The 13,642-nt window shown below is 38.2% G+C and overlaps 2 long non-coding RNA genes across 3 annotated transcripts in view; one reads left to right on the top strand and one right to left on the bottom strand.

Annotated features, from left to right (window-relative positions):
- Positions 1–13,642, bottom strand: part of LOC107986195 (uncharacterized) — a 496,338-nt gene that overhangs the window by 227,342 nt on the left and 255,354 nt on the right. The window lies entirely within an intron of this gene.
- Positions 1–13,642, top strand: part of LOC105377481 (uncharacterized) — a 51,454-nt gene that overhangs the window by 29,781 nt on the left and 8,031 nt on the right. For both annotated transcript variants that reach the window (XR_007058322.1, XR_001741437.2), the window contains 6 exons: positions 344–404; positions 3,937–4,091; positions 5,482–5,612; positions 6,781–7,026; positions 10,091–10,327; positions 13,355–13,427. This is a non-coding gene — a long non-coding RNA (uncharacterized LOC105377481). The remainder of the gene's footprint in view (positions 1–343; positions 405–3,936; positions 4,092–5,481; positions 5,613–6,780; positions 7,027–10,090; positions 10,328–13,354; positions 13,428–13,642) is intronic.

The raw sequence follows: 13,642 nt of genomic DNA, 5'->3' as shown, positions 1-13,642 counted from the left end.
CTAAGCACATTACTATAGGATGGGCAAACCCATAAGGAGATTGTTTACCTAAGTATACTCATTTACATACAAATTATATAATTGCAACACATAAGCAGGCAGTTCTGATATATTACTTCCAAATCATTTGTCTTTTTAAGCTTTTCTTAGACAACACTTGGTTAGCATACTGTTAGTAATTGTGAGAACTTCAATAACTTAATTTCTTGGTGGGAAAAATATTCAGATGATGTTTTTTTCTTGACACTTGGATCCAAGAGACTCAGTTTAAATTCTTGGGCAAGTACATTTATGGATTTCACTTTCATCATCTGAAAATAAAATAATCATACTTTTGTTACAGTATCAATGTGAGGATTAAATGGGATGAAAAATAAAACATCTGTCGGAGTGCCTGGAATATGGTAGGTTCCAAATAAAACCTTTTTGAATCTGAGTGTAAACTTTTAACAAAATCTGATTTTCTTTTTCCCAAATATTGTAATTACCAAGGATTTTTTTCTAGAAAATTTATGTCCATATTTCCTTTAAGGGTTCCTTTAGAAACATTCCCTTACTTTCAATGTCTATTTTTAAAAATTATATAGCTCTCTATTAAAATATTAGGCTGGGCATGGTGGTTCATGCCTGTAATCACAACACTTTGGGAGGCTGAGGTGGAAGAATTGCCTGAGCCCAGAGGTCCAAGGTTACAGTGAGCTATGATTGCACCTCTGCACTCCAGCCTGGGTGACACAGTGAGACCCTGTCTCTAAGATATATGAATTTTTAATATACAGGGATTTTTTTGTTACTGTAAGATTCTGTAACCATGGGGATTTAAGGTTGCATACTCTACCCCATTACCTATATATTCACAATCCAGAAAATTGAAGTTCAAGAGCATGCTGGCTTTGGGATTCCTAGGGAGGGAGGAAGAGCAATGAAAAGGTGGAAGAGAATTCATTCCAGATGTCCACAAATTCCAAATACTACCCACGATGGCCTTTGTAGAAATGTCTTTCTTTCACTTGGTAGTGAACAGCTTTTTCAATATGAACTATTAAATGTAGAATTCTTGCCAGCTTTAGTTTCACCAAATTAAGAATGTTCCTTTCACAGAGGTATGCTTCTAAATCTTGGTTAACATAAAGATAGTACTTTGGTCAGTGACAGGGACTTTTAATTACTATAATCAATGTCTGTAGATTATAAATTTCTAAACCATAGAATATTAGGGTTTTAAAAAATGGGAAAACATCAACACAACATTCTCATTTGTCAGAATGAGGAAATGGAGACCTAGAATAATTTACCACCTTGTCAGATATCTAATGGCACTTTCAATTCTAACATTTATGTCTATTGACTAGTTTCTAAGGATCATTTTAACTGCACCATTCTCCCATAAATGTGGTTACTTGAAAAGTTAGCTCTACTCTCTGTACTATACCCTTACAAATAACTACATGAAAAATAGGGCTTTGTCCTTTTATCAAAATGACACCATTAAATAATTAAATGGGATTCTGGTTTTATACATGATCACAGAGACAAGTGAAACCAAAAAGAAAATAGAGAAACAGTAAGAAATACTTAGAGCCAGGATGAAGAAAACCTAGTTTGCATGGATGTTATGTTTTAGTGTAAGATAAAAACTTGAATCTATAGTAGAGAAGGTCACTCCTCATAGTCACCCTGGGAATGCGGAAAGGGAAGAGTGAAAGTGGTGTTTGGTGGAAAACGTAAAAACAACCCCCTTTCCTACTAACAAACAAAACAGCTCAGATCTCTTTTCATGTTTGCCTGCTTGGGAATATTTCAGCTACTTACTCTGAATCTGGTATACCTAGCCAATGTCCACACTACAAATTGAGAGTCAGAAATAAAATCTCTGAAGAAAACAAAATATTTAAAAGAACCTGTAGAGGATGCAGCTGGCTGACCAGCACACACACCAAACCCATCATCTCCTTCAACTTGTTTTCAGAGAGTTGGAAAAACTTCAATATTCAGGAAGGCATCTAAGTTCTCTTGGCTTAAGCCAAGAAGTAACAAAGAAGAGAGGTACTGTTCCTGTTTTAATTTTAAAATACAGCTAGGACACAGCTCAGGAGCCCATTTTGGAAAGCCATAATATATAACCCAAGGCTCCTACTAAGATGGATTACCCTGGTGTTGTTTGATATCTCTTCAATGTCACATTATCATTCCAAACTTAAGTGGCCCTTCAGACTTGCTTCTATACCTACCAAGCTATCATGCCTAATCTTCAATTGTTTCCACAAACCCCCTTGAAAATATTCTCCTTAGAAGACCAAATATCTCTGTAAAGCTTTAGAAGTGAATCCTGCCAATTACTTTCTGTTTGTGTGGTCTGCTGGGAGTAAATTTCATATTGGGTTACCATCTATGAGATTTGAGAGTAATGGGGTGGAGGGATGTACTAAAACACACCACTGTTTTAACCACTGCCTAAAATCCTAGAGACCTACTAGGTTTGCAAATATCCACCCTTTCTGAAACTGATTAATACCTCTTGCGGCAATTACCTTCAGAAAGCAGGGAGATTGATGTAGTGATATGTTAGACTCTAAAAAATGCAACCTAAAATTGTTTGCAAAAATATACTTCTAATAATTTGGCCAAAAGTCTAACTATTCAAAGATTTTCTCCATTCCATGAATGGATATACCTCTTTCATGCCCTAGTCCATGTCCAGTTCTCAGTTTGTAAGTGCCCTACTGTCACGAGCAAACACAGGAGCCACAATGTGGCCAAAAATGGCAAAAGGACAGGCCCACTGTTACACTGCACTTTCCTTTTCATATCCTTGCAAAAAGTAAGATAATCTCAGTAATATCAAGATGAAAAGGCTTAAGGACCCTTCTGAAATCCATGAGGCAAATCTATCTGAACAGCCCAAACACCAAAGAATCTATTTAGACAAAATAAAAATGTATCCCATTTTGGCAAGGAAAAGCAACTGGCATGAATATTGAATGTGTTGAAAACTCTCACATCAGTATTAAAATTCAACCAGATAGTTCTTTAAAGATGACTAGCTTCTGAAATGGAAGCTAAATTGTTGGAATGTATGTCCAATTCTAGATGGGTTCTCTTCTTTCAGGGACAGGAGAGCAAGGTTTTCTGCCCATAGTTAATTCTGAAGATGAGCAAACATTTTCTAAAAGACATTTTCGCTAAAAGACTGACCAGACCACTCTAAACAAACAGAAAGGGAATGAATACATCTCAATCAAGATCTGGTACTGACCAGTTTACCTAAAACATTGCGCTTTCTTTGGATGCCTTCCTGCACAACAGAATCAGGCTTAAAAAGTGCTTTGTACAAAATAGCAACCCTTGCCCAAAAGCTGGATCTGTAACAAAGAAATAAAACGTCTTCCGTCCAGGGAGCAAACCAGTCAGCTTAGTTCATGCCACGAATATCTTTCTTATGCAAAGAAAAGTATGAACTCATTGGTAATGAATTATAATATTAACTTCCCTATTTCTATTCCAATTTCAATAGAACTACACCACCAAGGGAATTAGCTATAATAAGAGAGAGAAAGGGGGCTAAAAATTAGCTATAAATATATTATGAGGAGGACAAAAAGAGTAGATAGAAAAAAATAAACTAAATGGGGACACAAGGAAATACAAAATATGGACTAAACTATACAGAAAAATGTGTAAAGTAAGAAGGAAGTTACTAGCTCCACCCTTCATGATCACTGAAACATTCAGAGTCAATCATGGCCTGTCACACATGCAACATTTTTTTCAACAAACAGAAAATGCTACTCTCAGCCACAGTCAAGTTCTTTGGAAAACCTGAATGAAAAGTCTAAAGAAATCTTTTATTGCTCACTCTTTCATCCTTGGAAAGATAACAATTGTTTGACTCAGCTCCTTGAGAGAGAAGAAACTAATTTATCTTTGTAATTTCAGAGCCTAGTAGAGCACCCAGCACACAGTAGGCTCTTAATACATGCTTGGGATGATTGAGGCATTTTCTTCCACCATATTCCATGATCTTCTAGCCCTGGGGGTGCAGAGAGATTACCTGGCCAAGAAGACTAGGGGTAAAGTACTTTTCTTACCTGGTAAGTGGTTTGGGAGTTAGGAAAACATGATGTCTGGCCAACCCCTTTCCTAAAGGAGTTTATGTATCCCAATGCCCCACCCACCACCCGCCTCCACCACACACCCAGCGTTTGTTGCTTGTAATGGGTCAATACATCAATGAATTGATGAATTGTAAAGGAAAAAAAATACATGCTTGGAAAATGAATTTAACTAAACAAGATTGAATGTAGCCCAGCTCTTTACTCACAGAGCTTGAAGGCTCAACTCGCCACAACCCCCTGGGGAGAGAGGAAAGACATGGCATTAGTTCCAGCGCTGTTAGTGCTAGCTATTGCAACATCAGAAGTATCAAAATTCAACTGTCTGGTGCCAATGGCAAAACCAATGCTTACCAAATACATTATAATAATAAATATAACTTTATAGGTCTCACAGATTTATTTATGTCTGCAACTCTAAACCTGCTCCCAGCCCCCAGTCTCCAGAAACCAAGCTAGCTGGCCTTTTGGAGATGAAAATAGCATCAGGCATCAAGGGTGTGCATTTATGAGCAGGACAGGAGGGTGGACTAGCACCTGAACCTTAATGCATTCCTTAAAAGTTTTCAATGGGAGCATGAGTCAGGGGTGCCACCTGGAGAGAACCGTTCTCAGTAAAAGAAGGACAATGTTTACCTTCAACTACCCAATTTTTTGCTTCCAGGAGATGTAACACACAGATTGCCTGTAACCATGGCAATCAGCTCAGCTGTGAGCACCCTCATTTATTCAAAGCACAGAGGCAGTATAAGAGAGAAAATACTATTACAAATAGGAACAATAAGATTTAATGTCAGATGCCAAAATATGATTGGTTCAGTATTTGATTCCCAGCCATATGAAGCACATTACACTTTCTTGGTTTCATCTGCTCTTTCCTGATCCTCAAGGGTAATATTAATTTCAATTTCTTCCAGAAACAATGATTGACTTGTTTCTAGCACTATCTTGGGAGTGAAATAAAAATTTTGGAAAAATACATTCTCAGCAATGCACTGTGTGCAACAGAGTTGAGATAACCATGCCAAAAACTATAAGGAAATGTCAACATACACTTAAAAAAATAACTTTTGATGGAGTTTTTTTAGGGAGGTATTCAACTTCTCGTGAATAAGTAATAAAGGATGTATACTATATACTGTATTTACTGGTTCTTCTCCCTAATTTCAGTCTCTTTACACTCCTGGAAGAAAAAAAGTATTATGGAGGCTACTTTACAATCTTCTAAAATAGAGTAACAGAAAACCTGTTCTTGATTTTCAAGGAAATTACTTATAACTCATCAAGTTACTAAACTTCAGTTATTGCAAAATTTATTAACTGTATCCTGAGATTTCCACTGATAAAACTCAACTAATGTATTTCACAGGTACACAAATATCCAAGATTGGAAAGAAGAAAGAAAATGACGACAGAATTTTGCAGTCTACAAGGCAAACACTGCCATTCATGTAGTTATGGAGTTCCTACTATGTGCAGACAATGGGAAACTTTACGAAGGTGAGCAGACAGGGATCTCACACTCCTACTATGTGTAGAGCAATGGGAAATGTGTGGCAATAAGGTAAAGGTCTTTTATTTCAAAATATTTTAGCATAGAAGGAGAAATGTCTACTTGAACAATGAACAAAATACCTTATCGAAACAAGTCTGTAGAAATCTGTTTAATTAGAAAAGCATAAAAGTTATTACTCTTAGCTGAGTGGTAACTGATTTGATTCAAGTTGTCTAAAATTTTCATTGCAGATTTTGAAGCTTGATAAAGCCATAATTTGAAGACTACTTCATTTCCTTAATGCTCAACCTATTTATCACTTGTAATTCAGAAAGGATTTTTAAAAGACAAGAAATAATTTTTTAAATGTTATGCATGTGCCTTTTAAAAAATTCCTTTTAGCCTTGTGCCTCCCACTAAAACTTCGTTTCTCAAGTTCCTTGGCCCAGGCTGTAAGTGACAACTAGCAATCCCATTCCTCTGCCTTATAAAGTCTTGGAAGAAAACAAATTCAAGATCACTTTCCCCCCAGCCACTTAAGAGAAAGAGATAGATTTTAGGGTAATGATTAGAGGCATCTAAGACCTACTACAGTATTTCTAACCATGAGAAACCATTACTATTTTAAAATAATGGTGTGTAGAGGATTGGTCACTATTCCTTTAGTAATGAAATTTACTATTGCAAAATTTTCTTGCTAATGCTAGTTATCAACTACTTATCAAGAAAATCAAGTGACAACATTCATACCAATCCCTTTAATTTCAGTAAGCCAAAACCAACAAGACTTATTCACCTGTCACTTGGCATTACTTTCTCCTTCTGTCAAAGAAGCCTCAGGGTTTTTTTCACTTAGGCATTTCCTTAATAATAACTATTCTAATATCCAAATTGCATATACTAGTCATTGTTGGGTAGCTATCCCCATAACCTGAATACTTCCAGGCTTCGTTCCTATGTGAAGTCTTAGTAATGTTACCGTCCAAACTACGGCAGCCCTTTACCCTCCTCATCACCAAACTACGGCAGCCCTTTACCCTCCTCATCATGACTGGAGGAGCTCAGCATGCTCTCAAGCCGCCTTCCATCTGTTCTAGGCATCCCACGGTGGCTTCTCCAGAGAGCTCAGAAATATGTCTGCTCCTGTTCCCATTTTCCTGCTCTTTCCTCCAGGAACCTCGACGTAGCCTGTTCCCAATGCCCTCTGTGGAATCAGCCAGGTCCATGCCACAAGTATGAATTGTTTCCAGTGCGGCAGTCCTGGGAGTGCCTGAGCCACAAGCCAGTGTCCCCTACTCAGTTGTGCCCTGTGGGGACTGAAGCAGGACTATATTCTCACAGGCTCTCCTAAAAGCTGGGCTGCCAGCTTCTAGCTCTACTCCTTTCTCAAAGTGGCCCAGGCCATCTCTCAGACCAAGGGTAAATGCTATGCCAGTTCCACCTGTTGTCTTTGTGTGCATAAATCTCATTCTTTGTGCTTTATCTCAAAAAAAAAATCAACTCATAGGATTATAATCTCCTGAAGAGATTCCACAGCCCACCAGTCCTACAAAGTCAGACATAGAGGGCCAGTTTAGGCATATATATATATACACACACACACACACACACACACACATTTATATATAAACATATATATGTAAACTCTACATGTGTGTGCATATATATATACATACACATATAGAGAGAGTTTATGTTTATATATACATATAAATTATATATAGAATTTCTATAGAAATACAAACTATATATAGAATTTATATAGACATATATAAATGATATGTCTATATAAACATATATATGAACTCTGTCTCTCTCTATATATATATATTTTATATATATATTATATATATATATTTTATATATATGTATTTTATATATATATATATAAAACTCATGTTATATATGACAAATCCCATATATAATAAATCAGTGGTGGGGTATGGTAATTCAAAAAAATGAATATGGTTTCAGATGGAAATTAATTTATATGGCCAAGACTGTTAATTAGGCTTTTGTTGCCTTTAACCTAAGAGTAAGGCCAGCATCTGTGGTTATGAGCAAATACTTAAGGCTATGGTAGCTGCAAACACTTGCAGCCCTGGGTCGAAGGACAAAGGCTAGAATAAATTCCCTACCAAACGCTCAGAAGTGATATTATGCAAAGAAGATGTATATTTTAATAAATATTTGTGGAATGCCTATTACTTGCCAGGAACTAAGGACACAAAAGGAATTAAAGCACCAGGTCAGTCCCAAAACAGCATGAAATTTGCACCCAGGCAGATCTGGGTTCAAGCCCTAGTTCTGTCCCTTGCTATTGCTTCTTCTATGACCTTAAGAATCTTCAAGATGGAGTTCTCAAGAGGCACAAGTATGACAGTGTACATGGAATTACTTGCCATTAGCACAGATGTTTGTCGTGTATTCATTTATGAGTAAATAATTATTGAGTGACAACTATATCCCAGGCATTGTTCCAAGAATTAGAGTTACAGCAGTAGACAAGAAAGAATGTCTCATAATAATGAAATGAAGCTAACTTTATTACATTTATATCACAGTGAAATCAACCAGGTCAAAGGAAATGATTCTTACCCTGTGTCACTCCAAAAGATCTTATCCAAAATAAAATGATGTATTTTTTAATTTCCAAAAATAGATTAAATTAAGTTGAGGTCTCTACCTGTACAGTGGCAGGAGAGATGAATCAGCACCTTAACAATTTATTTTGCTCACCTCCTCCTTCATTCTGTTCTCTACTCTTTCCCTCAATTGGTAGTTTTTGTCCCTGGATGGCCTCTCCTCACACTTTTGTGTGGACAGACATGAATGTTCAGTTTTGTGTGTAGTGTGTGTGTGTGTGTGAGAGAGAGAGAGAGAGAGAAAGATAACTGAGAGTGTGCACGTGTGTCTGCAAGAACAATGGTAGAAATCCATGATCCTTTGAAGAAATTTAACCTGGGTTAATTACTCAAAATCCTTATATTCAGAACCTTCCATATTGAAGCTTCCCTGATCTTTCTCTGCTCCAATAGCTCATAGCAATGCCTGAATGCTTTGTTTCTTAAAGAGGAGTTTATATTTATAGAGAAGTTGTAAAGAGTCTCCATATACCTGCACCTAATTCCCCTGTTATCAGGAATTTGCACTAGTATGGCACATTTGTTATCATTAATGAACCAAAACGGATATTATTATTGGCTAAAGTTCATGCTTCATCTAGGTTTCCCAACTTCCCTGAGGTCCTTTTCTTGTGCCAGAATCCCATCCAGGAGACCACATTACATTTAGTCCTCATGACTCTTAGACTCTTCTTCTTGGCTGTGATAGTTTCTCAAACTTTTCTTGATTTTGATGACCCTGACAGTTTGAGAAGTATTGGTCAGAAATTTTTGTAGAATGTCTACTGGTTGGAATTTGTCTGGGGTTTTTCTCATGATGAAACTGAGGTCATGGGTTTTTGGGAGGAAGACCACAGAGGCAAAGTGCCATTCTCTTCCCATCATACCAAAGGTACAGGCTATCAACATGACTAACTTATCATTATTGATTTTTACCATGAACACCAGGCTGAGATAGTCTGAACATCCTTTTTAACAGAGATTTTTACCAATTATTATATTTGTATTCCCAAACTGCTTCAAAGATATTTATCAAGAAATCTCAAAATAGCCTCTTATTTTTACCTAAAATTCATTCATCCCTTAATTTTCACTGAGAAAATATATTGAGTCTACTATCAAATGCCAGGCACTGAGGATACAGGCATAAATAAAACATGTTCCTACTTTCAAGAGCTCATGGCCCAGTCTAATGCAAGAGAGACTTGTAAAAATGTAAAGAAGGATCCAATGAGTTAAGGGACACTGTTTAAGGAATAAAAGGAACCCTGAGAGGTATAGTTATCATTTCCGTGAGGAGCTAGGAGGAGGGAAAATCTCCTTCCTAGAGAAAGGGACTCCTAAGCTGATCTTGAAAGGTACATAGGATTCTGCCAAGCAGAAGAGAAATCATGTGCAAAGCAGGTGTGTGTTCATGAAAGCTGGTTTTAGAGAAGTGGCGGGGAAGGAGGATGAAGTGGTAGGTAGAGATCGTGGAGAGCCCAGTTTGCATTTTGAATTGTGTGGCTCTCAGGCTGCTAGAGTCAAAGTATTAGAAGGTAAAGGCAGGCTTCTAGCAGGTTCCACATCTGAAGCAGGAGTAATAGTTGGTCAAGTAGTCTTCCCTGAAGGCTTGGAGACAGGGCACTAGAGTAGCACACCTCTATACACAGATAGGATCTGTGCCTCAGCTCTGGCACAGATTTCTCTCTCTCTCTCTCTCTAACACACACACACACACGCACACGCACACACACAAACATACACACACACAGAGGGAGAGACATATTTGCCACATATCCATTCTCTAAGAGCTGCCAACCCAGACTGACAAATCTTTAGAATTTACTACTTTGTCTCTTTTTTCTACACCTTGGCAGTGGATGGAGCAGCATCAGCCATGGCTCAGGAATGCAGCCGCCTACTTTCCTGTTATCAGCAGGCATTCCTGTGGTTACACTATTCCTGCTTAGCTTATCAATGGCCCTTGGGAACACAGAGTCAGCACCCAAAGAGGGCCAGAACAGCCTGCTTGTTGGACGCCCATCCACACCATGAGGCTTTCCTGGATGTAGAGGGAAGTTACTGTTCCTCGGGAAAACCCCTCTTCCCAGCTGGTATGAATGCTTTAGCTTAAGAATCTGCCTCATGTGTTTCATACTCAGAGACACGACCCCCTAATCTTTATGTGTGAAAACTTCCCGTTGATACCAAAAGGAGCTTTTCCTAGGATATCACTGACCCAGGGTAAGACACAGTGAGTGAAGTCTGTGCATTTTGTTAGAAGATTAAATATCCATTATATCCCCCCATATTCTTCCTCACCCCAACATATCTCTTTGTCTCCAAGTTTTAGAACTTCTAGAATATAAAATATAATGTATGATATATAGTCATATAACATCTAGTATTCCCTCAATAGCATTCCATCATCAGAATAAAGTACAAAATCTGCCATCCATCATGAGAGACCTTTTAGGATCAGGATGCTGCCCTGCTCTCTAGCCTCATCTGTCCTCACTACCTGCTTGGCCATTGATGCTCCATCTTCCTGAACTACACCCCAGAAACTCAGCAATCAGGCCATGTTCTCTCTTATAGCATTGCTTTTGACATGCTGGTCTCTCTGCTTGGGTTCCTTTCTTTTTGGGATTTTTCCATCCATCTTTGTCTGGCTAACTCCTGATCTGCCTGCACCATCTTTCGGAACTTTGAGATGGGTGCCCCTCATTTGTGCTATCTTTGCTTATTCTTGAAGCACCTTAGGCTTCCTCTCTCATGACGTATCTAAGTGGCCTGCAGTGGTCTACCTCTTCAACCTCACTCCCTGGGACCATATCTTATTGCAGAGGGATGTGACTGAGTGCAGCAGGCCAGTCATCCTTCTGCTCTACCATGCACAGGGCATGGCCGTTTCTTCCTCGTGCTTGCTACCCCATGATTGCAAGATGGTTGCTGTACTTCAAAGAATCACATCCTCACTTCAGGGTCTCAAGCAGGAAGGAAGGGGGCTATGTTTTCTTTTTAATCAAGGAGGAAAAAAGAAGCCCCAGGAAGAATTCCTCTATGCCATATTGGCCAGAACTGAGTCATATGGCCATGTCTTGCTGAAAAGAAGGCTAAATAGCAAGTATCTGGCAAAGCAGAAAGAATTGTCACAATGGGTTGGATCATGATTCATGAGCTGGTACATAGCCCACTGAGGCAAACTCGGGATTTTGTTAGGCAGAAAGAGGTTATAGCTTTTGACCTGTCAAGTAATAGTATCTACCACATTGAATTCCACTTTAGAAAACATAGATACAAAACACACTCCTGAAGATTGCACCAACAGGAGGCAAAATTTAAGGAGCAAGAGAAACTATACATGTAAGTGATAAAATAGTAATATTTATCTGTTGGGACTCAAATAGGTGTTTTGTCCCAGAATTATCTCAATTCATCAAGACTTCTTTGAAACTCCTTGCCCATGCTTAGCCATTTATTCTAGGTAGAACAGTAAACGAATCTCCATTCTTAGAAAAGGTGGGCCTAGCTTCATAGAACCGCACACAGCCCTATTATGTAATATAGCTTGGAAACTGTATGAGCTAGTAAGTTTGATTTGATATGTTTGAAAGTTTGGCAAAGCCTTAGTGATAGGTTTGGGCAAAAAAAAGATGAAACTCCATAATTATTGTTTCCATTAGCTAAATCCATCAGCTGCAGATTTGGAGAATACTTGTTTCAGGTATTTGGTGAGCGACTCTCTTCTCTGAAGGTATTCAATCCCAAAGTGCACATCAAATCATTTCCACTAAAACGCATAAAGGTCTTGGTCAAATGTGACTCATGTGTATTTATCTTATCCTTTTGCTGAAATGATTTCACCCAAACTTAAAATAGATAGAGGTTAGTTGACTCAGAAAATTAGTGCACAGGATGAATAAAGATAGTATCATGAGCTGGACATCCATCAGGTCAATGCATACTGCTCACTGATAGCTTCCCCACCAACCTCTGTACTATACCATCACTGTTTTGCTATCCTTCATCCATCTGCTATGGATGTATCATTTTTTGGTCCTCAGGCTAACAATTTTCATAGGATTTAGGATAGAAGTCAAAATCGGAGTGTGCCAGAAAGTGAGGATTAAAGGACGCAGGTCTCCAGGATTTGTTCTCTCATGGAAAGAACCCAAAAACCTGTCTCTGAATTTGCTTCTTCCCTGCAAAGTAAAACAGGATCAGGCCCTGGTCCCAGTTAGGAATATGTGCCCCCTCTATCCCCTATCCCCTTAGAAGCCAAGTGGGAACCAGAAAGAGGCAGTGGGAAAGGAGGAACCTGGGACAGCTTCCAGTCTAAGTAGGTGTTTGGGGATTCTCCACGAGGTCCAGGTTAGATCCCCAAGGAAATGCACAGAACTACTGGTCAAAGACACAGATAATAGTAAAGTGCTTGTGTTTGCCACACATTCTCTTCTGTGCATATGTATTCCTTGGAGGTTTTTCAGGGAAGTGTGGTAGGCCAAGGATGGGATCTGAGAGTTTCTAGATCACCTAACTAATTACCATTTCCTACTTTTTCAACCATTTATTTCCAGCTCGTTCCTCCTACAAAGCCAGTAATCTGGCGCTGTATACCCTTGATTATAGCAGGGAAAGACTACAAAGCATTCTGATGTAAAGACACATGCACAGATAATGTAGTAAAAAGAATATAGATTAGCAACACATAGGTCTGGGTTTAAATCTCAGTACAGCTGCTTTTTCATTCTGTGACCTTGGGTAATTTATATATTAGCCTCTCTGAGCCTCAGTTCCCTTACTGAGTCAGTAACACTTACCTCAGGGAGTTAGTATGAGGATTAAATGTATAAATGAAATAATTAACCACTTATAAAATGTGCCAGACATCTAATGTGTGTTCAACAAGTCTTAATCTCTTAAGTGAACATTCTTACTAGAAAACTAACTCACAACTCTATTGATGGTAAGCAATAGAAAGGTATTCCTATAAAAAGACACTCATCTTATTTATACATAAACAATAGGAAAAGATGGCGACAATGACCTTGCATTTCTAGGCTAGTTTTGTCACCATAATATAAATTAATTGAAACAGACAAACTACATTAACCAAGTATTTATTGTTTTTATTTCAGGGTTTTAAAAAGCAGCAGGTTTAAGAGCTGACCATATCTGAAAGACTCTAGAATAGCAGAGGATTGATTAAAGGTCTGTGGCCACAGATTGGATGTGTTGATTTTATTTCCCCAAAGGTATCCACATAGCAACTTGGCAGTACACACATATCCCAAATATATGTACACAGTGTTTACAGAAAATACTAATTGTACCCTTACCTAAAATGTTAGGTCCCATTTTCATTTTAAAGACTCATTATGCTTTTCATGAACTAACACTTTTGTTCATTTCAATTCTGTCATGAA

Source organism: Homo sapiens, chromosome 4 (genome assembly GCF_000001405.40).
Source record: "Homo sapiens chromosome 4, GRCh38.p14 Primary Assembly".
In the NCBI taxonomy this organism is placed as follows: Eukaryota; Metazoa; Chordata; class Mammalia; order Primates; family Hominidae; genus Homo; species Homo sapiens.
The sequence above is the reverse complement of the archived record's forward strand: the minus strand, read 5'-3'. Positions and strand labels throughout refer to the sequence as shown.